Genomic DNA, 26,906 nt, shown 5'->3' with positions numbered 1-26,906 from the left:
GAGGTCCCCAGCATTGGTGGTAGGTGGAGCACAGGCAGCTGTGGCACAAGGCCAGAGGCAGTAATGCCTCCGTTAAAATGTTTATTGATGATAAACTAGGATGGCGTACCAGTGGAAGAAAATGCCCTGGCATGTAAAAAAATGTATCTGGAGGCTAAGAAATATGGGGCAAATAGTAATTTGGGAACAATGGCATTGGCTGGCAATTAACTCTGTGGCAGCCTATATAGAGACTCTTACCTCCAGCAAGAGGACAGGTCTCAAGACTTAAGAGTAGCAGAGGCCAGGCACTGTGGCTCACACCTGTAATCCCAACACTTTGGGAGTCCAGGGCAGGAAGGTCTTTAAGGCTGGAGCTCAAGATCAGCCTGGGCAACATAGCCAGAGCCCATCTCTACACAAAATAAAAATAAATTAGGCTGGGCATGGTGGCTCATGCCTGTAATCCCAGCACTTTGGGAGGCTGAGGTGGGTGGATCACAAGGTCAGGAGTTCGAGACCACCCTGGCCAACACGGTGAAACCCCATATCTACTAAAAATACAAAAATTAGCCGAGTGTGGTGGCAGGCACCTGTAATCCCAGCTACTCGGGAGGCTGAGGCAGGAGAATTGCTTGAACCCGGGAGGTGGAGGTTGCAGTGGGCTGAGATCATGCCACTGTACTCTAGCCTGGGCGACAGAGCAAGACTCCGTCTCAAAATAAATAAATAAATAATAAATCAATTAATTAATTAGGTGGGGGTTGTGGTGCACACCTGTGGTTGCAGCTACCCAGGAGGCTGAGGTGGAAGGATTGCTTGAGCCGAAGAGTTCATTCGAGGCTGCAGTGAGCTATGATTGCAGCACTGCACTACAACCTGGCTGACAGAACAAAACTGTCTCTTAAAGAAAAAAAAATGAAGGGGAGAAAGGAAGAGTATCCAGCTTCTGAAGGGTGACTCTTGGCAATGGCAGGCACCTGGCTGAGAAGGAACAGGACCCTGAGAAATGCGTTGGGGACTGTAGGTCGATGCCTGTGAAAGTCTTGAATTCCCAGATTTCCTCTAATCTTCTGGGCTGCAGAAGCACGCCACCCTCTGCAATACAGGCTGGTGGTCTTCCATTAATTGAAGACACCGCAGAGGTCTCTGTCCTGCAACATAACACATGCCTTCCTCAGAATCTGCCCCCACCTTTTCTCCACTAGACCAATAACTACGGTTAAATCACAGCATGTCCCCACTGGGGAAGTGCTAGATTTGCTAAGGGAAGAAAGGAACTATACCCCAAAAGAAAAGAAGGATCCAGAAATCAGGTATTGGCAGGAACCAGGAGAGTACACATAGACCTTGACGCTGGGGCAGGGTGTGCGGGGTAGACAAGAGATCAGAGAGGCTGGGCACGGGGGCTCATGCCTGTAATCCCAGCACTTTGGGAGGCCAAGGCAGGTGGATCACCGGAGGTCAGGAGTTCGAGACCAGCCTGGTCAACATGGTGAAACCCTGTCTCTACTAAAATACAAAAATCAGCCAGGCGTGGTGGCAGGTGCCTGTAATCCCAGCTACTTGGGAGGCTGAGGCAGGAGAGTCACTTGAGCTTGGGAGGCAGAGGTTGCAGTGAACCGAGACTGCACCACTGCACTCCAGCCTGGTCGACAGAGTGAGACTCCATCTCAAAAAAAAAAAAAGAAAAAAAGAAAAAAGCAGAACACAAAGTTGGATAGAGCAGTAATTGATAAGGGAGGATTCTCTTGGGTTAGAGGATCTGACAGTGCAGCAACGACCCCAGGAGACGATGCAGACATGCTGCTAGATGGCTCTCAGATACGTGCAGAAAGCAATGCCCACACTCAATGAAGCAGGGATGATAGAATTGCTGTGGTAGGCCGGGCGCAGTGGCTCACGCCTGTAATCCCAGCACTTTGGGAGGCCGAGGTGGGCAGATCACGAGGTCAGGAGATCGAGACCATCCTGGCTAACACGGTGAAATCCCGTCTCTACTAAAAATAGAAAAAATTAGCCGGGCGAGGTGGTGGGCGCCTGTAGTCCCAGCTACTCGGGAGGCTGAGGCAGGAGAATGGCATGAACCCCCGGGGGGCGGAGCCTGCAGTGAGCCGAGATCGCGCCACTGCACTCCAACCTGGGTAACAGCGAGACTCCGTCTCAAAAAAAAAAAAAAAAAAAAAAAGAATTGCTGTGGTAGATAGTGCAGGAAGAGATCAAAAGGCTCCCAAAGGTGGTTATGCTACAGTGGACATGCTAGGGAAAGCTGGAAAATCCACTACTGCCTAGAAGATACCCCCACCCCTTTCTAAAGCAATATAGAACACACTGGTGAGAGGGGAAGGAGGATCAGGGGGCATATGTTGTGTTGTAGGACAGAGATCTCTGTAGTGTCTTCAATGAACAGAGGGCCACCAGCCTATATTGCAGAGGGCAGAATGCCTCTGCAGCCCAGAGAGTTCAGGAAGCACCAGCATGAGTGAGAAGCCCAGCAGTGCCTCTCCTCTGTAGGACAGGGCTGAATGTAGGCAGTGCCACTACAGACCTGGACACCCCGAGACTGATGGGGGACAATAGGATTGTAAAATAACAGAAACCACACGGTGGTACTTAGCCATCATAACCAAAGTGTGCACACTTGTCCTACTGAGTAGCAATGTTGGTGTAGCAGCCAAGAGGGGCTGATCTGCAGAGAGCTATGGAGGTGGTCACCAAAACATGGCATCCCAAAAAACAAGAAAGTCAGGTGGTCGACAAGCCGATATATACAACAAAAACAAATCAAGGAGGGGTGATCAGCTGTCCCAAGAAAATGGCACAGTTCTTTGCCCACTGTTATGGTTTGGATGTTTTGTCTCCTCCAAATCTCATGTTGAAATGAAATCCCCAATGTAGAGGTGGAGTCTGGTGGGGTGTTTCAGTCATGGGGGTGCAGCCATCATGAATGGCTTGTTGCCCTCCCCATGGTAATGAGCGAGTTCTTGCTCTGTCAACTCACATGAAAACTGGTTGTTTAAAAGAGTCTGGCATGTCTCTTGTTCCCTCTCTCGCTATGTGACATGCCTGCTACCCCTTCGCCTTCTGCCATGAGTAAAAGCTTCCTGAGGCTGAGCAGATGTTGGTGCCACGCTTGTACAGCCTGCAGAATGATGAGCCAAATAAGCCTCGTTTCTTTTAAATTACCCAGTCTCAGGTATTCCTTTATAGAAACACAATGCAAACTAATACACCCAGTTTTCAGATCCAGAACTCAGTGACCAAAGGAGAGACCACATCCCCAAGAAGAACCCCATGGCATCATGGCAAATACACATGGGAATGTTTTCTCAGTCTTTCCCCAACAGGACCCACAGCCATTTGGTTAAACAGGTGTACACTTGGGGAAGGAGAACACTCAGACATTTCTAGATTTTTTTTTGACATTTACATCTGGGGTCTTAGCCCCTGAGAACTGGAAGTGTTGCCATTGCACCCTGATACAGTGAGGGCACATAGGGTACCAGGTAATAAATGACCCAAGCCTGGCTCATGTTGGGTTCACAGACTCCCATCTGGCGAGCATTTCTCCCCAGTTCCCAGATGTATAATCCGAATAGATAGATGTGACAGCTGGCAAAACCCCCATGTCCTTGATCTGTGGGATAAGGACCGTCACCATAGGGAATGCCAGCCTTTGACAGTGACCCTCTCCCATGAATCTAGACATTAAATCAAAGGCAATATTACTTCCTGGGGGTCTCATAGAGATTAGCACAATTTAAAAAAAAAAAAATCCACAGGACTCTGCTTGATAAAAGACCTCAAGGATGCAGGAGTAGTCATCACCATCAAATCACCATGGAATTTCACCAGTCCAGTCCTACAAAAGACACGCAAGTCCCACCAGAATCCCATAAACTCTATCAAGATATAGCCCCAGTTGCAACCACCATGTTGGTGGGATGATGGTATATTTGCTAGGGAAGATGTTTGTGGCCTCAGGTATGTGGTGTGTGACCACTGGTTTGAAAAATAGGTTGTTTTCCATCCCTGTCAAAAAGGACTATCAGAAACAGTTCATGTTGACTTGCAGTGGACAGCAGACACTTATATTTTTCTCCAAAGTTATTTTAACTCTTCTTTGTCATAATATAAACCCAACAAGCTTCCTGAGTGCAAATCGCTGCCTCAGTCTGCTTTCCAGGGAACCTGACATACAACAGGCTGGAATAAAACGCAGCCTTGCAGTCAGAGGCCAGTCCTTGGTCAGGGCCTGGCAGGACTGACGTTACAGGCAGAGTCAATACAAGCAGGACCATGTAGGTACCTCAGAGCATGATTGACAGCAGCAGCAGGCCAGATTCTGGCTGGGGTCTAAGCTGGACCAAGAAGCAGAAAATTGGCAATTAGCTGATCAAAACGAGGCTGACACCACAAACAGTTCTGACCCTGCCGCAGCAGCTCAGGCAACTGGAAGGAGAGGGAGTGCTGTTTTCAGAACCACGGACAGCTCCCAATGATACCCCGCTCTAAGGGTTTAGCTCCAGGTTCTGTTCTCTGGGATAGGAGGACCCGGGGAATGTAAGGTGTGAAATCTGTCAACACCATGGATAACCCGTGAGGTTCTGGCCATTTATATGATTAACTGAAATGACTACAGTGGGGCCTCAACACCATGGACAGCCCCCACAAGATGCCGATAAGTTCAGAAACCAAGACTTGTGTGTGCACTGTCCCATATGATGCCAGTTCTGGGGGCTGATGGAAAGATAAATAACTAATCTCTAGAGAGGTTTACTCTCTAGTGGGGAAGATAGGTAGGTGGCCAGGTAATGGCCTTTAGGGCTTGCTGAACCTCCTGAAACAGAGAGCTGAAACAGAGAAAGAAGAGGCAGAGAAACTTCGTGCTGCAGTTTCAACACAGTGGTATGACAGTCCGACTTACATTGCCAGTCTGGGTCTGTTTCAGGGTGATTCTCCTTTCCCTGGGAAAGCTATTGCCATGAATTCCCTGAAGTGACCCAGTCCAGCAAGCTGTCTTTGTCCCAGATCCCTCCTTGCATGGCAGATGCCACACAGGCTGCACGGCCACAGGGAAACCTGAAGATCTTCTCAGCCCAGCAGTTGCTCAGACTTCAAACTTAGTATGGCATGTGGTTTCCATGACACGGTTCTGCAAACCGATGCCCACAGCCTTGAGAAAGGTCCCTGGGCGTCACTGAAGAGCCCTCTCACCCTAAGAGCTTGGGGACTTCCACAAAGAAACACCACAACCCACGAGTGATGTAGCCTTGGAGGGAGCTGCATGATGTTTGCTCCTGTGAACTAGTTTGAGTTTCTCCACTTGGGGCTCCTACAGCTTGCTGAATGGCTTTAGCATAGCCTCGTATTTGCATCAAATTCCAGGAAAACTTGCAGGCATCCTGGACAAATTGACTTACAAAATATTTTAAAGTACCGACTTTCTTTTAAAAAGTAGTATGGAAAGACTCACCAGGAAAATGAAAGGGCCTCCATCCTCACCTCTGTCTCTGAGAGCTGCTCTCCTCTGACCACACCAACCCAAACCATTAGCTTTTTGTGTGAGGAGGCACCGCTCACCAGGATGGGGGCTGGTCTGGTTCTCTATGGCACCCTTCCTTTTCAGCAGACCTCATCAGATTCTTTGACCATCTCTTTTTGAGAGATGCCCAGAGCCTGGATGTCAGAGAAGAGAGCTCTCATTCTCCACTCTTACCTAAGCATTCAGGGACTATTAGAAGAGACAAAAGGTGTTTTTGTAAAAAAACAGACAGGCACATGTGAGCTCTTAGGAATGATGTTTTGGGACTGATGGAAGGAACCTTGAATTCCATTCAACACACAAGCAGATCCAGTCACTCATCCACGCATTCACAAATATCAGTGAGATATCAACCACTCGAGTCGCACACTGTGATTTGAAGCAAAAAGTAAATAAGTGACTTAATTTCTGTTTATTAATCAGCTCTGAGCACACAACAGGCTAAAACAACAGTGTAATTTAGGATGAACAACTGCAAACACTCTCTGGGATATCTGAGGATGATGAAATCCTCAGGGGAGGAAGACAACTGGCCACTCAGCCCTGATGAAGGGGGAGGAAGGCAGGGAGGGATGGCTTATGGCTTCCACGACTTCTGCAGGGCAGGGGATGTTGTGCTGGGGGAGTGGAGCTAATTTTCCTCTGCTTGTTAACACTTCATCTTGTGGAGGAGGGGGGAGAGAGGTCAACGGAGGATGATAATAGTCATGGCTGGGACAAGGATAGGAAAGGGATTCCATCCTGGCTGAAATTAACAGTTACAATGAGATTCTAAATCTCCCAGAACTTTCATTTTCCTCTTTCTCTGCAGGTGGAAATGGATGCAGAGTCAAGTTAAAACCGTGTAACTTTACATGGTAAGTGGGTTTCAGAAGGAGGGCGGGGGAGTTTTGCCTGATCCCTGTGGATGCGGCCCATACTGGGGAACCCTACTGGAAGGCAAAGGATGCAGGGTCCTCCCGGCTTTAATCCTGGCAATATCCTCCCCACCCACCATCTCCCTCTCTAGCCACAGAACAGTATGCACACTTGCTAAAAATCTTGGACTCCGGCCGGGCACGGTGGCTCATGCCTGTAATCCCAGCACTTTGGGAGGCCGAGAGGGGTGGATCACCCACGGTCAGAAGTTCAAGACCAGCCTGGCCAACATGGTGAAACCTCATCTCTACTAAAAGTACAAAAATTAGCCGGGCATGCTGGTGTGTGCCTGTAATCCCAGCTACTCAGGAGGCTGAGGCAGGAGAATTGCTTGAACCCTGGAGGCGGAGGTTGCAGTGAGCCGAGGTCGTACCACTGCACTCCAGCCTGGGTGACAGAGCAAGACTCCATCTCAAAAGAAGAAAAAAAGAAAAAACTTGCACTCTCTCTCTCCAGATGTCAAAAGAGAACTAATATTTACAGCAGAATAATAGCTGTAAGGGCTCCTTTCTGGCTTTCTGCTTCATTTAGAGTCAATGACTCTTTGCTTCTGGGAGGATAGACATTTTGAAGTAATATGGGAATGTGCTTAATTAATACCTCTCTGCCCAGGGCCTACTGGTTTGTGGTGTTTTGCTGAAAGCCCAGGGATGGGGGGTTTGAATGTGTACAGATCTGATACAAAGGACAAAAGTCCCCCTGTTTCTGCAATTGTTCCATTCTCCCAATTAATGACTCAGTGAAAGGCAGAGGTCAAATGCTGCAAAATTTTTCCAGGCAAACATTTTCAGGGCCTTTTAGCTCAGCCAGTCCACGACCCTGTCCTCTCACAGAGGCCGATAGTGAACGGGGGTCACAGAACCCCCAAATCCACCCCTGGGAGGTTTTGAGCAGTCAGAGAATATGATATATTTATCTAGCAGAATGTTCTAGCAGCATGTCATATCCTCATCAAGAATGGGAAAAGGGTAATTGGATTTAAATGTCAAGATGTTCTCAGTGTAGGGTGGAAAGCACACATCTATTTTCTCAGCTACAGTTTTTTTTTTCTTTTGGTCTTATTATAATGAAAACTGCAATGAAAACTGCAACCACTTGTTGCTGAAGATGACAGGAGAAAATTCTCTAGTGCTTGGAGATAACAGTGAGTCACAGCCTGGGGGCCAGGTACGTGGCTATCAAATGCAGAGGGAATGGGCTTGGAGGAGAGTGAGAAGTCCAGGGTTAGGCAAGGGGCATTAGCTGGGCAGAAAACACATTGGAGAAGGCTGGGGGAAGCTCAAAGGAAGGGGTGGCCAGGATGCCCATCCTAGGAGGACCTAGGAGGACAGCCATGCTTTAGAGGAGAGCCTGGCTCAGACTTCAAACTTAGTATGGCACGTGGCTTCCATGACACAGTTCCGCAAACAGATGCCCACAGCCTTGAGAAGGGTCCCCAGTAGTCCGTGGGGACAATTCCCTTCTGGGAATTCTGTCCCGTGGCTTTTTTCCAGATTTGGAAAAGCTGACAATTAGGACCTAATAGCCATTTGTCCCAGCTCTAATTATGGCCACAGTGAACGCTTAGCCCTGGTCACCAAGGCAGCCAATACCCAGTGCTAGGGACAGTTCCGAATGCGTGTCTCAGTGGCCCTGAACCTGGGGATGGAATTGTCACAGGGCAAACCCCAAAACTGGGGCTCAGCCCAGAAGGCCAAGTGGGTTCTTGGCTTTGTGCAGGAAAGAATTCAAGAGTGAGCTGACAGAGCAAAGTGAAAACAAGTTTATTAAGACAGTAAAGGAATAAAAAGTGGCTATTCCATACGCAGAGAAGCCCTTAGGGCTGCTGGTTGATTATTTTTATGGTTATTTTTGACTACATGCTAAATAACGGGTAGATTATTAATGAGTTTTTCTGGAAAGGAGCTGGGAGTTCCTGGAACTGAGGGTCCCTCCCCTTTTTAAACCATATAGGATAACTTCCAGGAGTTGCCATGGCATCTGTAAACTGTCATGGTGCTGGTGGGTATGTCTTTTAGCATGCTAATGTATTATAATTAGCATCTTAGGAGCAGTAAGGGTAACCGGAGGTTGCTTCCATCACCACCTTTGGTTTTGGCGGGTTTTGGCCAGCTTCTCTACTGCATCCTGTTTTTTCATCAGGGTCCTGGGAAACTAGTCCTGCTGAACTCCTATCTCAGAATGGCAGTGACACACCATGCATTCCTTCATGAATGTTGGGGACAAAGCTGTGGGCTGCATCCTACATGGCCGCAGACTCCCAACGTCTGCAGTATGGGGTAGGGAGAGAGGGGTGGTGGCCACGGTGTCTGCTGGTGCTAGAAAATCTCAGGAACAGAAAGGACATCTTAACAGAACATTTCCTGGCTGCCCCTGACACATGAGACCTCCCCTTATTGCCCCATGTCCCCAGAGCTGCTCACACACACTTATCTGCTGGATAAGTAGTCACCCCCGTTGGCCTGGCAGGCACCAGGCTATGCATCTTGTCTGAGCTTGGGCAGACACCAGAGAGTGCCTCGGAAGGGCCCTCTGAGAGATCCCTTCTCTGCAAAAGTGAGTTCACTATTCCCCGGGGAAGGCAGTGCTAGGCTGACAAAACAGCCTGGTGCAAATCATCCACAGGGAGGCAGGCCTGGGAGCGGTTAGCTGGGGAGCCTTCTAAATACCTGCAGCAAGCACCCCTACCCTCCATCCTGATTAGCAGCATCCGGGAGAGCCCAGGTGGGCTCCAGGCTGGTATAGAATCTGGCGTGATCAGTTCCTGGCTAGTCCTCCACTGTTGACCTTCAGGACAACACCTCAACTCGGAAGCACCCTCCAGTCTATCCCCTGGCCTCCTTTCTCAGTCCAAGTCTCAGTTCAACAGCATCCTGAGACTGTTCTCAGGCTGAGGGTCTATGACACCATAGTGAGGCAAGAGGTGCTTCCAAGCGCAGGCTGGGCCTGGGATCCCGGCCCCATGTCTGTCTCTGTCACCATGGATTCTTAGCATCGTTGGGCTGAAGCCATCCCTGGCCCTGCAGCAGGGAGCAGTCTCTTTTGTAAGGACATTGCCAGGTGGCGGGTGGTGCCTTAGAAAATACACATCTTTAATTAGAAACAGGTGGAGAGGAGGCACACTCCATTTACAGGTGTGAGCAAGCCTTCTGGTAAAAGGTGGGGAATGTGATTTTGGTTTGTTTTTGTTTCTGTTTTTCTTTGAGACGGAGTCTCGCTCTGTCCCCCAGGCAGTGGCGCGATCTCGGCTCACTGCAACCTCTACCCTCCGGGTTCAAATGATTCTCCTGCCTCAGCGTCTCAAGTAGCTGGGATTACAGGTGTGCACCAGCACGCCCGGCTAATTTTTGTATTTTCAGTGGACACAGGGTTTCACCATGTTGGTCAGGCTGGTCTTGAACTTCTGACCTCAAGTAATCTGCCCACCTTGGGCTCCCAAAGTGCTGGGATTACAGGTGTGAGCCACCATGACTGGCCAAGAATGTGATTTTGTATGGCTGCAGTGGAGAGTGAAGAGTGTGTGTGTGTCTGCGTGTGTCTGTGTGTCAGAACCTAAGACCCTCTGACTGCCCTTGCAGTGGGCAGTCGGGAGAAGGGGGCAGCCTGGCTGGAGGCAGACACTGTTCCCGGTCCCATTCACACTCTCCTGCTGCCAGGGGTGCATTTGACGGCTTCCCCATCAATCTGTGAGTTTCCTCCTGAAACCTGATTGCTAACTCTGCCTGTGAGGCATTTAAAGCCTTTTCTCCAAGTACCCCCTCCCTCCCCATGGAGGAGCAAGGTCGGGCCCTGAGGGTAGGAAGCTGTGAGCCAGCTGGGGAGGGGCCAGAGCTGACCCCCCTACCCAACCCTGCCCTCTCTTCCATCTCTCCCCAGCCAGGCTGTTTCCAGGGATTGCCTTTGTCTCTGCCAACAGCTAGGATGTTTTGATCAAAAGCCAGGCCTGGCACTGCTGCTTGCCAACAAACACAAGCCTTTTTTAAAGCCTCCTTCTTGCCTGGGCTGGGACTTCCCTATCTGACATTTGATGCAGCTTCTGGCCTTGCCCAAGCCGTGGCATGGAGGACCCTCACACAGAGATCCCGTTTACCCTCTGTTCAGCTTGATGCTGGGGTCAGGGGATGTTTCAGGGACCAAGCTGTGCAGGAGACTTGGTTGTCAACAGAACCTCACCCCCACCTCACCCTGTAGTGCCTTTCCCTGTCCCCATGTCAGGAAGGTCCCTGGGGGAAGTCAGTGCTCCCAGGGTGGTATGCTGGGCCCAGTGGGAGTGGGCAGCTCTGGGATCAGGAAGGTGGGTCCTCACTCCCAACAGACCCCACTCGTGATGCCCCTCCTGGCCTGGGCACTGAGAAAGTGCTCTCCCTCCTTCCTCTCCTCTCCCTGAGCTCCTGCAGTTGGGACAACGATGGCAGGGCGTTCTCCTGGGGGCTGGGGGCTGGCCCAGTGAGCTGCCACCCCATTCCTTCATATTCATCCCACCTGGGGGACAGCACCACTGTGTCACACAGTGTGGGTCCCCATTGCTGTTATAGGGAAGGGGTCTCGATCCAGACCCCCAGAGAGGGTTCTTGGATCTTGCACAAGAAATAATTCAGGGTGAGTTCATAGAGTAAAGTGAAAGCAAGTTTATTAAGAAGTAAAGGAATGAAGAATGGCTATTCCATTCTTCATTGCCCATTTTTATGGTTATTTCTTGATGATATGCTAAACAAGAGGTGGATTATTCATGCCTCTCCTTTATAGACCATATAGGGTAACTTCTTGACGTTGCCATGGCATTTGTAAACTGTCATGGCGCTGGTGGGAGTGTAGCAGTGAGGACCACCAGAGGTCACTCCCATGGCCATTGGTTTTGGTGGGTTTTAGCCGGCTTCCTTACTGCAACCTGTTTTATCAGCAAGGTCTTTATTACCTGTATCTTGTGCCAACCTTCTATCTTATCCTGTGACTTAGAATGCCTTAACCATCTGGGAATGCAGCCCAGTAGGTCTCAGCCTCTTTTTTCCCAGGCCCTAGTCAAGATGGAGTTGCTCTGGTTTACACACCTCTGACACCGCTGTCTGCTCACAGGGAGAGGAGGCTTGCCTCATAGATCACAGATCAACGACGGAAGTTTGTAGAGCTCTCTGCAGCAGGCTGCAGTTATGATGGTGTGTGGGCCGTTGAGAAAGTGCTCCTAGAGGCTGGCTGTGGCTCCTAGAGGCTAGCAGTGGCTCCTATGTAGGAAGTTCCAGCTCTTATGTTGCATGTTCTTTCGGAGCTGAAGGAAGGGCCTGCAATAATCTATCTGTTACACCCCAATTTATGCAGAGAGGGGGTTTAGGATGCCATACAAGAAATGAGGGCATAAATCAGAATGGAACTGACAGATGCAAGAACAACTAGTAAAGAGATAATAAAATGGATCCCAAAGTAAGTTTGAAAGTTGCACTTTACAAGGCTGTATTCACTTGGTAATGGGCTGTGGTATCAAGAATATATCTGGGCCAGGCACTGTGGCTCACGCCTGTAATCCCAGCACTTTGGGAGGCCAAGGCGGGTAGATTACCTGAGTTCAGGACTTCAAGACCAGCTTGGCCAACATGATGAAACCCCATCTCTACTAAAAGTACAAAAAATTAGCTGGGCATTGTTGTGGGGGCCTGTAATCTTAGCTACTTGGGAGGCTGAGGCAGGAGAATTGCTTGAACCCAGGAGGTGGAGGTTTCAGTGAGCCAAGATCATGTCATTGCACTCCAGCCTGGGCAACAGAGCAAGACTCCATCTCAAAAAAAAAAAAAAAAAAAGAATATATCTGGTCTTTGTCTCTTGGTTCCAGACACAGTGCTTCAAAAACCCTTGGAATTTCCACAGTGATAGGCATGTCTTGTTATGCCAATGAGATGGGTCCTGGTGGGCTCCTAGAGAGCTTCAGTATAGGAGCTGGTCACCAGAAAGACCAACCACTTGAAGAGAGGAGGGGAGGGTGATTGGAGATTGAGTTCTGTCATGCAGCCAATCAATCATCAATCATTGATTACTCATAATCAAACCCCAATTCATAATGCAATCCTAATAAAAACTCTAGACACTGAGGCTCAGAGGAGCTCCCAGTTGAACACACTGATCTGCTGGGAGGGTGATATGCCCTCCATGAAGGAGGTACCATGGAACCTACCTTAGGGAACCTTGTGAGAATTAAATGAGATGATACAGGAATCAAGCTAAGCTCATGCTTTGTCTCTTCCTCTAAGATGCACATGCCCCACTGCCTTTCCGAGGGTCTGGCGTTGCCCTGCTGCCCACTTCGGTTCATTGGATGTGTCTTCATGTGAACAAATAATGATTGAGATGAGGTTTGGGCTCTTGACCAGGAGCCCAGAGCCTGAGAAAATTGTGTTTGGGACCCTCCCAGACCCTGTTCTATCTATGGGTATCCTTTCTAATAAAAATGCAATTTTAAGTATAGTACTTGCCTGTGTTCTGCATCTTTAAAACAAATTTTCAAACTGGAGGGGCCCCAGCACCTACACTGCTGGCCAGCTGGCTACAGATTCACAGGAACACCTGACTCTGTAGCCAGTTGGCCAGCGGTGCAGGTGGCCTGGGGACCCCACTTGCGGCCAGTGTCTGAAGTAAAGTCAGTCTTGTGGAGGGCTCTGTCCTTTACTTGTGGCGTCTGGTGCTAACTCCAGGTGGTCAGTGTCAGGACAGTATGTAGTACAGCCCAGCTGGGGGCAAAACAGAACGCGGGCTTATTTATTAGGCGTGAGCCTTGCAACAGCTGGTGCAGAACAACGATTCTTGGTAGAAGGACCAGACAAGAGGATCTCCTGAGTGACGGCCAAATGTGCTTGACCTCATCTTTAAAGTAAGGGCAATCATGAGCCTCAGGGGGCGGCTTTTCAGAGCCCAAAAGAAAGAGGCAGCATTGCAACAGAGCACAGTCGGTATGCAGCTGAACTCACATGGCCAAGCTCATGCAGGGCAGAGCTGGCTGGGTTGAAGTGGAGACGCAGCTGTCCCAGTGTGAGCAGTGTGTGGATTAAGGGACTCCCTCCCCTTGCACCTCAATCTCTGTCCGTGTGGACTGAGCCATTGAGACAGGCTGTCTTGTTTCCCTGAGTCCATGAGCTTCTTGGAGTGGAAAAGAGGTCACCGGCAGCCAGCAAGGAGAACAGTGCATCTTTACACCTTTTCTCTGCCTGAGATCTTCTCTGTGTAAACCAGAGGATCTGGCCACAGCCTTGGGCACAGGCTCTGGGCTCCTTGTGAAGAACCCAAACCTCATCTCAATCATTGTTTGCATACACGAAAACACATCTGTCAAAGGCGTTTGAACTAGAGTGACTCCATCTTGTATAGATACTGGGTAAAATAAGGCTGAGACCTACTGGGCTGCATTCCCAGGAGGTTAGGCATTCTAAGTCACAGAATGACATAGGAGGTTGGAACAAGATACAGGTCACAAAGACCTTGCTGATAAAGCAGGCTGTGGTAAAGAAGCTGGCCAAACCTCACCAAATCCAAGATGGTGATGAAAGTGACCCCCGGTTGTCCTCACTGCTTATTATACGCTAATTATAATGCATTAGCATGCTAAGAAACACTCCCACCAGTGCCGTGACAGTTTACAGATGCCATGGCAACACCTAGAATTTACCCTTTATGGTCTAAAAAGGGGAGAAACCCTAAGTTCTGGGAATTGCCCACCCCTTTCTCGGAAAACTCATAATTAATCCACCCCTTGTTTAGCATATAATCACAAAGTAACAATAAGTATCCTTAGTCCAGCAGCCCAAGCTGCTGCTCCGCCTATGGAGTAGTCATTCTCTATTCCTTTACTTTCTTAATAAACTTGCTGTGATGATTACTATTGAGTGTCAACTTGATTGGATTGAAGGATGCAAAGCATTGTTCCTGGGTGTGTCTGTGAGGGTGTTGCCAAAGGACTTTAACATTTGAGTCAGTGGACTGGGAGAGGCAGACACACCCTCAATCTGGGTGGGCACCATCTAATCAGTTGCAAGCACGGCTAGAATAAAGCAGGCAGAACTTGACTGGCTGAGTCTTCCAGCTTCCATCTTTCTCTGTGCTGGATGCTTCCTGCCCTCGAACATCGGACTCCCAGTTCTTCAGGTTTTGGACTCCTGGACTCACACCAGTTGTTTGCCAGGGGCTCTGGGGCCTTCAGCCATAGACTGAAGGCTGTGCTGTTGGATTCCCTACTTTTGAAGTTTTGGGACTCAGACTGGCTTCCTTGCTCCTCAGCTTGCAGACGGCCTATTGTGGAATTTCACTTTGTGATTGTGGGAGTCAATACTTCTTAATAAACTCCCCCTCATACATACATCTATCTTATTAGTTCTGTCCCTTTAGAAAACCCTGACTAATACACTTTCTTTCACTTGATGAATTCGCCCTGAATTCTTTCTTGCGTGAGATCCAATAACCCTCTCTTGGGGTCTGGATTGGGACCCCTTTCCAGTAACACATCCAATGAACTCGAGTAGGCAGCAGCATAAGCCAGACTCTCGAAAAGGCAGTGGGGCATGTGCCACTTCTTTCCTTAGGGGAAAAGACCAAAGAATGAGCTTAGCGTGGTCCCTGTATTATCTCATTTAATTCTTACAATGTCGCCTGAGACAGCTTCTATGATTAACCTTACATCTATTGTACAGAGAGAGAAACTAGTTTTAGTGAAGTGTTTCTCCCAAGAGGTCTCCCTGCTTCAACCTTGCTTCCTCTGACTGTTTCTTCACAGCATCCAGTGATCCTTTTACAGGGGAAGGCAGAGCATGTCATTTTGAAACTGTCCCCACGGAATTGGCAAGAATTGCACGCCGGGTTCTCGACGGGAATATAGTTATAATTAAGCATCAATCAGGCTGCACTTTGGCCCACTTCCTTGTAGCAGAAAGTCACATGGCACTAAGTCTTGACGATGCACACCCCCAGTGCTCCTATAGGTAGGATTTCTGACATGAGGGTCCTAAGACTGTTTGAGAATTGATTGGCATCCCCATTGCTCCTATAGACAGGATCTCCAACCTTAAAATCATAGGCTTTTGTTTAAGGATCATATACGATGTTTTTCTTTCAGACTGTGAATTCCAGCAAAACTAGTTTGAAGACCCCACAGAAGATGGGGATCAGCCTGAGAACACAGGTTCTTCCTCTCACTGCCCCTGGCACTTCACCCTGCACTCTTCCACCAGTCGACAATCTCTATCCTTCAGCCCACTCCAAAACCCTTAAAAACCCCAGGCCCAAACTCCTTGGGGAGCTGGATTTGAGGTTTTTTCCCATTTCCTTGTTCAGTGACCCTACAATTAAATCTCTTTCTCTGTTGCAACCAGGTTTGGGTGTATTGACTTGCTGTATGCTTTGGCCAGTGGACCTATGATGGTTACAATTTCCCTATGAAAGCACCTCAACCATACCTCACCTGCGGCAGGCAGCCTCCAAGATGGTGCCAGCAATCCTCACCACCTGGCAACATGCTCTTGCAATCCCTTCCCAGGTGGGCTGGACTTGGAGGCTAGCGTCTAACACATAGACCACAGCTACAATGACGGGCTGTCACTTCTGAGGTTAAGTTACACACGCGCTGTGACTTCTGTCTCATTTCCCTCTCTGGCTTGCTCACGCTGAAAGAAGCCAGCTCCTATGCCATGAACTGTGCTACGGAGAGGCCCACATGGCAAGGAACTGAGGGAGTTCTCTGGCCAACAGCCTGAGACGGACTCAATCCTGCCAGCAGCCACTTGGCTGAGCTTGGAAACAGATCCTCCCTCAGTTGTTGAGCCGTCAGATGAGACTGCAGCCCCAGCTGCACTTTAATGACAGTCTGTTTCCCTGTGGGCTTCCTTTGGATTTCCCTCTAAGTTCTACCGGAAACTGAGGCCTGGAGGTCTTGGGATTACTAAATTGCAGGGTATCCTGTTGCACAGTGGGGGAGTGCCCATCTCCTCTCTGCCCACGCCTGCTAGAAGCCAGCAGAGCAGCTCCCTGTGCCAGAGTCTTTCTCAACATGCCCTAGATGCTCTTCTTGCTTATTCCAAGCCCATCCCGCAGGACTCAGATGTGGTCCACAGAGGGCAGGGCCAGAAGTCAGACTAACGCAGCAGCACCCTATGGAGCTCACCTCTGTCCTCATGACTGAGTCTCCCTCACTGGGCAAGCTTGCCTTGTGTTGCATCTTCTCCCCAGATGACCCCAGCTCCTCCTGCCCTGGGCTCACAGGCCTCCCAGGGAGCTCGAAGAAGTGGGGTCTGCTTCCCTCTCTCCCTTCCCTGGCCTGGGCTCCCCTGCACCTCCCCCTCCTAAGCACCTGTACTCTGAGCATGTGTGGCTCTCTTCCCAGTGGGCTGGGAGTCTGTTGAGGGCAGGTGCATGTCTGGGTGCCTGTGGCTGTCTCAGGGATGCTCATCGAACCACACCCAAATATCAGAGGCCATGCGGGGTTCTCTCTTGGGACTGTGTGAGGCCTGCAGGGCATGGTTACTTGAGGCTTGGCTGAATGTGCCCCTTTTCCTTTGCCTGGCATTGCTGGCACTGTGTTCCCCCAACTCTTCCTTTGATCTGGCAGCAACCCTGAAAGACATCACTGTTGAGGGGTGTGACATGTAGTCCTAGGTCAAGCCCAGCAGAGACACAGCTGCTACCCAGGAAGCAGAGGGCACCGCCCTGGCTACAGAAGCCGCCCCAAAAGCAGCATCTGCATATATCCACATCAAGGACATAGATGTCACCACTCACCCAGGCCAGAGCCTAGAGAGAACTGTGAACTCAACGGGGATGTGTGAATGATGCTGAATTTGTGCAAGAAAACATGATTGGATGAAATTTACATGAAAGAGTAACTGAGTAGTCTGAAATGGGGCTGGCTGGGGTGAGGGATTTAAAAACTAACATGTGCTCTGGAAATACAGTTCTGTCTGCTCTGATGGCATGTGTGTGGACAGCCACAGGTGTGGCCATGAACCTGCCGTGGGAGCGAAGGCACTTGCTGGAGCCCCCAGGCTCTGCTTACCAAAGTCCCACATTGGTGCCTCAGCTGCCCGCAGCCTGCTCTTTGGGAGTGTGGGCCGGGGCTGGGCCAGAGGAGAGCACCCACCCACAGAAGGCACAGCCCAGCCGAGTGAAGGGCCCAGCAGTCAGTGGAGGCCGAAAAAGAGAGGCGCCGGAAAGCAAGGCACACAGGCTTGTGCAAACGCCACACAGAGGCTGGCCTGGAATGCAGCCACCAGCCCGCTACGGCAGGAGCCTTCTCCAGGGAGCAGATCCACTTGGCACCTGGTCACGGTAATTACTGCTGAACTTTAAAACCTAACGCAGCAAAACCGCAAATATTTAACATGTGTTCCTCCTTCCGGGGGGCCTGGAGGAAATGGGAGCAAATGGCCAGATTCCCAACATGAACTCCCAAGTCTATTCACAAAATGGATTAATAAAGCCAGGCGCGACAAGATGCACAGCCCCATCCGGTGCTGAGGCCCCAGCCCCAAGCACGGCCTGACCACGGCAGACTCTCGGCTCCACTACAGCCCACTCTGGGACTCTGTGGCACACACATGTGCATGGACACTCATGTGCATGAATGCAAGTGGCCACAGGCTTTCAGGGGCCGGGAGCACACACTCTACACACACAGACACGGGTTCACACATACGGCGACTCCTTGGGCAGTGCTGCAGCCACCACGGGAGGCTGGTTCAGCCTCCTGGGTCGGCACAAGTTGTGGTCCTGCGCTGCCTGTCCGTCCTAAGCCTGACATATGGAAGATTTCCAGAAGGGGATGCCCAAGGTACCAAGTTTTTCCCCTGGCAGGAACACAGGATCAGCCAGGGAGCCTCATTTGAAGAAAGGGAGGTGGTGGGAGAGGATCCCCACCATAGGACGCACCTGGGGAGCAGGACGCGTGGCCAGAAGTGGCTCCCGGGCGACTGTGGATGAAGTGCATCTTTGGCACAGAAAGGGCCTGGGAAGGGGAGGAGAGGGCTCAGGATCAGGCATCAGCGAAAGTGGCACGGAAGGGCTGGGCTTGGAAAAGTGGGTGGGACTGAGATACAAGCAGAGGAGGGGAAGGTGCAGGAGCTGGGAGGGGAGCACTGCCAGCAGAGGTGCGGGTCGAGGTGGGGGAGCAGGAGCAGCTGCACTGAGGCTGAGCACTCGGGATGGCCCTGAGGGCTGGGTTGCCGGCATGCACTGTCCCCTCAGCCCCTTTCTTTGCAGCCCCTGGCCCACGTCTCCTAGCCCCTTGCCAGGGAGCCCCCTTCTTTATGGCGGTCAGGAGGAAGAATCAAATCTAAACCTGTCCTCGCCATGTCTGGAGTTCAGCACTGCTGTCGAGAGGTGGGACATTTGGGTGGCTTTCCCTGCTCCTGGGACACCGATCCAGCCCCATCCTGTGAGCCACCCAGAGGGAGTTCTAGTGCCCACACCCTTCACTCCCCACCTCCCAGCTGATGCTCACACTTTTATTATTATTATTATTATTGAGACAGGGTCTTGCTCTGTCACCCAGGCTGGAGGACAGTGGTGCAACCAGGACTTCCAGCAGCCTCTATCTCCTGAGCTCAAGCCCCTGAGTAGCTGGGACTACAGGCATGCGCCACCATGCTAATTTTTGTATTATGGGTAGAAACGGGGTCTCGCTATATTGCCCAGGCTGGTCTCGAACTCCTGAGCTAAAGTGATCCTCCCACCTCAGCTTCCCACAGTGCTGGGATTACAGGCATGAGCCAATGTGACCAGCTGATACTCACCTTTAAAGACATCAATACCAGGTCCCAGGATGGCAAGGCCTTTAGGACCTGGTATGTGACTGGCTGGCCCTGTCCCCTGCCCCATCTACCACCACACCTTCCACTCCTGGCCACAAAGCACAGTCATCTCAAGAGGTCAGTGGCCTGAGGGCCTTCTGCCCGGTTGCTGAAGGCCTTGGGATAGAACTGGGTCAACTCAGACCCCGGTTCTTACAGGAGGAAGAGGGAGAATGCAAGAAGCCCCTGCTGCAGCGGGCAATGACCTTCATGCCCCACCCTGAAAGCTTCTCTCTGGGCCAAGGGGAATCGGACCACTTCCAGGCAAGAGCCCTGAGCGGCCCCATTCCCAGTGTCTCCAGTGGGCAAGTCCAGCTCAGCCCAAAATACCAGCCACCTAGACCCTGTGGCCAGGCTCCGGCCCAGGTCACTCTGCCCTGATCCTTCCCAAAGCACCCACCACGACCAGATGAGAGAATATAGAAGATGAGGCTAGAGATAAGGGGCTGGCCGAGGCTGAAGCCTCCAGCTCTGTTCTCTTGGCTCACCCTGGCAGCCCCTAACCCTTCTTTCATCACACCTCTGTGCCGAGACCCCCAGAGTCCCAGTGGTGAGGACCAGGGAGGCCAGAGTGGGTGGGAGAGCCAAGGGAGAAAGAGTATCTTTCGCTTGCGTCGCATTTGGGGCAAAGGAAGGTGAAGGCAGGAGAAGCACCCTTCTTGCTAATGAGGGAGTGAAGGCTCACTGAGCTCAGGGCAGGGCAGTGGGGAAAGGGCTGGTACTGGCGCCTCGAGGCCCCACGCAGGGCTCAGCAGGGACCCTGGGCCACTGCAGGGACCAGGAGATTGTGGCCATGGGTTTTTAATTTTCACCTTTCACAGATTTCATTACCAGGAATTTCAGATTTGGATTAGGACTCGAGGCTTAGCTCTCAGAATGAGTCGAGGAGGGGCCCACAACAGCAGGTACAGGATGCCCCTGGGGGGTGAGTGTGTGGGGAGGGGCATCAGTCAGGAGCCAAGGAGAAATGCCCTTCCCCACGGGGACCTCTTAGCCTGATCAAGGGTTTGTGACGCGCAGACATAGAGCCACAGACGTAGAGACTCGGTTGTGTCCCCACAATCACATGCAGCCACGCAGCTCTGGAGACACCCTCACACTCTGTGCACGCACACTCATGTCCCTCATAACAGCGCCCCCCGATACATATGCTTGCACTTGCACACACAGCAGTGCTGGTCTCCTGATGACAGCTGTGCGCTGCCGATGGCTCCCGGGAGCTCTGTGCCCTCACTCCCTCCCCAACCCCCAGCATCTGCTGGGTCGATCCTCCAGGGATCTGCTGGTGAGCAGCTGCGGCCTGGTCCCTGGCTGGGGTGTGCCGAGGTGTGGCCCCCCACTCTGGGCCACAGTCCACCCTTGGAGCAGGCTCTGTCAGTGCCCAAGGAGAGGTGGAGCAGCTGGGGACCTCCCCAGCCCACCCGGAGTGGGCCTCTCTGTGCCACCTGGCTGGGGAGCTCCAGGGCCAGGTCTCCATGCCTGCCACATGCTAGGATGGGGAGAAAAGGGAAGGCAGGGAAGGAGAGGGGGCAGGGGCAGGGCCCAGGAGTGGCAGGTCTGACCTGGTCTTTGTGCCCCTCCAGGGCCTTCCGAGGCAGATGCAGCCCCAGGCAATACTGTCCAGGCTTGCGCCCACACTCAGTGAGGGAGGGCGTGTCCTCCAGGCTGCAGACGCACATTTTAATGGAGCTTCAATTATTCATGGAGCCTGGGAAGAGCAGCCCGGCTGCCAGCCCCGCAGCCACACTTTACAGAACTGCTTACGGCTCCTTGGCTGAGCCCGGATGGGGGCCGGGGGTATCCTCATCTAAAAGTGGAGGGAACACTGGGGAAGGTGAGGCCCCTAATGCAGCACCTGACCCCCGGGTGGGGGCTCGCCCAGCACCTTCCCCTTCTGCACAGTGAGAGGATGGTGGAGGTCCCAGGCCCCACACCCAGGGCATGGAAGCTGCCTGTGGGGCAGGGTGTGTCAGGAGGGGGCTGGGCCTGGGTGTGGGGTAACCGGTGGAGCCTGGTCAGGAGGCTAGGCTCATCTAAAGCTTGAGGCCAGAGCAGCTGCCTGTGGCTGCATGGAAGTGACTGCACAGCACCCATGTGGGGCCAAGGGCACCGAGGAGCCAGGCCCGGTGCCTGCAGGCTGAGCCTCTTAGTGCCTGAGACGCAAGACCTCACCCCAGGAGGAAAGTACCCACACTCAGTTTCTGTCCACCTAACCTCCCCCTTCACAACCACACCAGCACCCCTTCGCCACGGGAAGCTACTCCTCCCCACTCTCAGCCCCTGTGGTTTGGATGAGGTGGCACCACCCACACCAGAAGGGGCATGGGATCCTCCTGCCAAAGGAATTGGCTCGAGGATGATCAGGTAACACAATGGGGTGACAATGGCGGCCCAGAGATGCCAGGGCCACCCCTTGGCAAAAGGCTATCTGGGACTGAAGCCCACGAGAGGAGAAGCAGAGGCAAGGAATGGAGAAGCTAAGTTCTGACCACACCAAGGCAGAGCCTAGATACAGCCCTACCTGATGCTGTCCCTTGCAATTGAAATGTTCCTGTCCAATCCAGGATCCTTCACCCTCAGACTGCCTTCCTTCTACAGGCACCTGCTTTCTCCAGCAGGAAGGGGGATGGTAGGTGAGCACAGGGTTCCAGCCACCACTCCTCTCTTCTAGGCACCAGCTGAGCAGGGAGTGGCAGTGAAATGGCTCAGGGAAGGACAGCCTGCTGGGAATCCTGTCTCCTAGAGAGAGGACTCAAGGGTAACCAAGGGAGATGCAGATGTTGGCATATACAGCAACACCTTGATGATGAACACAGGCCCCTCACACACCTTTGTGTAGACACACGCGTGCACACACAAATGGTCAAACATATGCTCCTAGGTGCCTGTGCATGCACACACTCACATGGATACTGAGATCTGCATGGATGTGCACACAGACATCTGCACATACGCAGTCATGCACATTCTCAAACAAATACTCAGATACACACACACTCACAGGTATTCAGCCTCCAGGCATGCACGCACACACAAAGATCCAATCCCACCCACAGACACATTTGCTCATGAACCCAGGGCGTGCACACATTCCCACTGAGCCCCACACTTAACACAGGATCACGCATAGGGAGTGGAAATGTGAGCCAGGCTGGTGCCCTGGGCTCTGCAGGAAGTGGAGCAGGGGAGCCTCTGACGTTGTCTTCTTGTTCCCAGCAGAGCCGGGCTTATCTTCGGAAGGGTGAATGCCAGGTGAAAAATGATTAGCTGTCACTCAGCACTTGATAGATGCAGACCCCCTCTTACCCTTGCTCCTGGCAAAGGACTGACATGTTATTGATCCACTTAGTGTATTCATATCAGCAGCTGCAGAGGCTGAGCCAGGACTAACTGGAGAACATCAAAGCAGGGAGAAAAGAGAGATGTGGGTGGGGAACTGGGGGTGGCTGTTAGGCTGTTCCAGCTTCCCAAGGCCCGTGATGGGAGTTACGCTCGGGGTGGGAAACAGCTGTTTCTCCCCAGAAACCTCATCTCCATTCACATCCCCTCCAGGTTCGTGTTACCAATTGAGAATGCCCAGCCCCAGGGAAGAGGGGGAAGGGGTGCAACCAAGGAACAAAGAGGTAAGAAAGACAGGGCCAGAGGCAGCCTGATGACAAGACCACAGGAATGCTGGGTGTGCGAACTGCAAGAAAATAGCTTCTGGAGATGATGTTGAGCTTTCAACCTGTTTCCTGAGAGAATTTAGTCCCCAGAGGGGCTACGGTTCAGTCTACCAACAAATCTTTGCCTCCCCTCATGTATTTCCTTCTTTTACTACATGTACCTACCCATCCGTCTGTCCGTCCGTCCATCCATCAGTCTGTCCACCCATCCATCCATCCATCTGCCCATGCACCCACCCATCTGTCCATCTTTCCATCCGTCTGTCCATCCATCCATTCATCTATCACTCCCTCCCTCCCACCTTCCATCCACCCATTCATTCAGCTCATCCAGACTGTCTACCCACCCATCCATCCATCTGCCCACCCACCCACCTAGCTGTCCATCTTCCCATCTATCTGTCCATCCATCCATTCATCTATCCATCCATCCCTTCATCCATCCATCCATCCATCCATCCATCCATCCATCCATCCATCTCATCCATCAGTCTGTCTACCCATCCATCCATATGCCCACTCACTACCTATCTGTCCATCTTTCCATCTATCCATCCATCCATCCAAACAGCCATCCATCCATCCATCTGCCCACTCACCCACCCATCCATCCATCTGTCCATCCATCTGTCCATCCATCCATCCATCCATCTACCCACTCACCCACCCATCCATCCATCTGTCCATCCATCCATCCATCCATCCCTCTATACAAACATCTATCCCTCCATCACCTATCTGCCCACACATACTTCCATTTGCCCACTCACCTACCCATCTGTCCAACTTTCCATCCATCTATCCGTCCTTCCATTCATCTATCCATCCACCCTTCCCTCCATACATTCTTCCACCCAGCCATCCCTCTATCCATTCATACATCCCTCCATCCATCTACCCACCCACCCACCCACACATCCATCTATCTGCCTACTCATCCATCCATCCATCCATCCATATGCCCACTCATCTGCCTACCCATCCATCTTTCCATCAATCTGTCCATCCACCTATCTATCCATCCATCCACCCATCCATCCATCCATCTTCCCACTCACCATCCATGCATCCATCTGTCCATCCATCCAACCACACAACAGACATGTGTTAAGAACCTAGCATAGCAGTGTTAGGCCCTGCACACCCTGTGGTGATGCAGTGTGGGAAGGTGACTGTGGGTGTTCAGAGATAGGAAGATACCTGGGCTCTGTCCTGGAGGATGCCCGATCTCAGAGGACAGAAGATGGAGAAGGACTGGGGACTGGAGGAATGTGAGTTGGCTCAGGGCTCCATCTTCTGGTGTCAAGGCAAACACATGCTGCTGGAGCCAATGCTGACTCCGAGGACCCTGCAATAGGGTTTCCAGCCATGGCTGCGGGCCCCCAGAGAGGGTCCCCGAGAGCACTAGCTTTCTGGTTGGGTCCAGTTGCCTCCCAATGAACGATTCCCTTGTGATTACATGGACTTTGATTTCCTATTTCCACAGATAAGACAGAGCTGAGATGAGTGGCCCTGAACCTGGGATGGCCAGAGGTGCAAGCTGAAGACAGACAGGGCAACTCTGGTCAGATCAAACTGTAGCCACCCTGGCTTGGGCCAGGTCTGGGCACCACTCCTCCCTGCGTCCACGTCGGGCCAGTGCTGGTGGCCACTCTGCTTTCAGCAATGATGGACGTGGCCCTCACTGATATGGAAGCCCCTGAACTGGCCCCAGCTCCCAGGCTAGGCTGACCCCTGCAAGGGGAAGGAACTGCATAGTGGAAGGAGGATAGGGGAGTGGGGGCCTGCCCTGGAGGCTCCTGACACTGCATACCACTGCCTGCCCAGCTCCCTGCCTCCTGTGTCCCCATGGTCTTGAGGGGAGAACTTCCAGCTCTCAGCAGTGTGCTCTGCTCAGCTTACTGTGGGAGCCCCAGGAAGAAAAGGGCTGCCCCTCCACTGTAAGCAGATGCCAGGGCTGGCAGAGAAGCTTTGGATGGTGGACAGAGGCCAATGGGCAGAGTGTGTTTGCTACATGCATTCCGTGTGTGTGTGGCAAGCATATGTGGTGTGTGTGGTGTGCAGTGTGTATGTGTGGTGCATGTGTGTGCAGTGTGGGTATGTGTGGTATATATGTGTGGTGCATGTGTGTGGTACATGTGTGCGGGGTGTGTGGTGCATGTGTGGTGTATGTGGGGTATGTGTGATGCATGTGTGGTGTGTATGTATGTGTGGTGTGTGTGTGCAGTGTGTATATGTGATGTGTGTGTGGGAGTGTGTATGTGTGTGTGGCCTGCGTATGTGTGGTGTATGTGTGGCGTGTGTATGGGGTATGGGGTGTGTATGTGTGGTACATGTATGGGTGTATGTCATGTGTGCATGTCACCACCAGGCCCACACAGTCCCTCCTGTCCCTCCCCATGGTATGAGGAGCTGCCCATGCCCTTCTTCCGTGGGAGTTTCTGGGCATAGAGGGTGACTCCAGCCTGGCGGAGGAGCTGTGTGTACAGACAGCGGGGCTGCCGACACCACAGTGCTGCCTAGGAGAGAACATGTAGTGCCGAAGCTCTCCCAGAGGGGAAGCTGGAGCCCCACGGCCTTGTGTGTGGCCTGAAGCCTTTCCATTTCTATCTAGTGCCTGACACACTGAGTGTGTGGCTGCAGCAGTAGCTCTGTCACAGAGGTCACGGACGGGCTGGCTTCCCTGGCCTTCAAGAGAGCTGCTGGAGGAGACAGTGGGTATCACGTGTCATGCTCAAGTGTAAAGCCAGGCTCACTGTGCATGGTTCAGGTCCGACTGCATGTGATTTTTTTTTTTTTTTGTAACTCACAGTAAATTGCTCCAGGTCCCCATCCCCCTCTTTAGGACCCTGTGAAGCTCCCTGGACCCAGACAGCCTGGGGTGTCTGGGGGATCTCTGCCTTCCATTCCCTCTGGTCAGATGGCTGGGAAGTCAGCCCTGGGGCTGCAGTCCAGTCTCCCTAGGTGTCCCCCCGAGTTCTGTCTCTCAGCGCCTGCCACCTCCAGGGATGGTTGCCACTCTCCAGGGAACACTCATTTTCAGCAACTCCCCATCCCCTCAGCTTTGGACTTCGTGTCTGCCTCACCTCCTTCAAAGACACTTCCCCTAGAACAATTCCTCAGTGAGCTTAGGCTTCCTAAAACAGAAGTGTCCAAGGACCCAGTCCCCATCTCCCCAGCAAGGACAGAGAGACCTTGAGAGGAGAAATTCCACCAGGAGTGAACACACATGGGTGTCACCAATGACACCAGAGCCACTTGATCCTGCCTCCCCGCCCAGGGCTCCCCCACCCGGCCCACCCCCGGCTGACAGAAGGTATTTGCCTTATATCAAGGGAGGTGTAAACATTTTACAAAACATTTCAGCAGCTTCAGCAACAGTTTAGAAAACACGTTTTATTTTGGAGGTGGTAGACACCCGCCTGAGTTCGCCTGGTCTTTGGCTGCAGTGTCACACCTATGACATCACTGGCAGGGGGGTGGGGGAGAGGAGGCTGGGCACACCCAGTCCCGGGAGCCCAGGTCTCGGGTGGAAGCCCTGGAGTGAAGAGACACCTCTCCAACAAGTCCAGAGCCCCTGTAGTGCAGAGCAAGACCTGGAGGCCTCCTTCCCTCTCAGTAGCAACAGAGATTCAAGACTTCAGGACTCCAAGGACAGATGCACAGGCCCCGCCCACAGCTCTCTCTCTCCCTCCTCAGCCCTAGGGGACCGTGACCTCTCCCCACTGGATCCAGCAGGGCCAGCCTCATGCTGGCTGAGCTGCCTCAACACCCTCCTCCGCAGGCTGCGGCTCTGACCTCTTCTTGGGGAGAAGCCAGGAGGATTCTGGGTAAACACAGGGACTGAACGTGTACGTTGAGCTCATCTTCCTCCTGAGATCCCAGCATAATGACAGCGAAGGAATGAAACAGAGGGGCCCATGGTAATGAAGAGAGCTAGAGAGGAACAGCAGCAGATGCCAGATTGCAACATGATTTTGGAAGATGGGA

General features: G+C 52.0%; 1 protein-coding gene across 6 annotated transcripts in view, besides 2 other annotated features; it reads right to left on the bottom strand.

Moving 5' to 3' along the window:
- The window catches only part of CHST8 (carbohydrate sulfotransferase 8), a 151,557-nt gene that overhangs the window by 28,046 nt on the left and 96,605 nt on the right, over nucleotides 1–26,906 (bottom strand). The gene's annotated exons all lie outside the window — the stretch shown is intronic.
- Nucleotides 20,087–20,683: an enhancer, noted in NCBI's record as "H3K27ac-H3K4me1 hESC enhancer chr19:34215686-34216282 (GRCh37/hg19 assembly coordinates)". NCBI's record gives its function as "activates a minimal SCP1, AML or CMV promoter by ChIP-STARR-seq in naive H9 embryonic stem cells {active_cell/tissue: H9 hESC(naive)}" and the evidence as "EXISTENCE:reporter gene assay evidence [ECO:0000049][PMID:30033119]".
- Nucleotides 20,684–21,281: an enhancer, noted in NCBI's record as "H3K27ac-H3K4me1 hESC enhancer chr19:34215088-34215685 (GRCh37/hg19 assembly coordinates)". NCBI's record gives its function as "activates a minimal SCP1, AML or CMV promoter by ChIP-STARR-seq in naive H9 embryonic stem cells {active_cell/tissue: H9 hESC(naive)}" and the evidence as "EXISTENCE:reporter gene assay evidence [ECO:0000049][PMID:30033119]".

This window comes from Homo sapiens, chromosome 19 (genome assembly GCF_000001405.40).
Source record: "Homo sapiens chromosome 19, GRCh38.p14 Primary Assembly".
NCBI classification, from domain to species: domain Eukaryota; kingdom Metazoa; phylum Chordata; class Mammalia; order Primates; family Hominidae; genus Homo; species Homo sapiens.
This window is presented reverse-complemented; position numbering and strand designations above follow the sequence as displayed.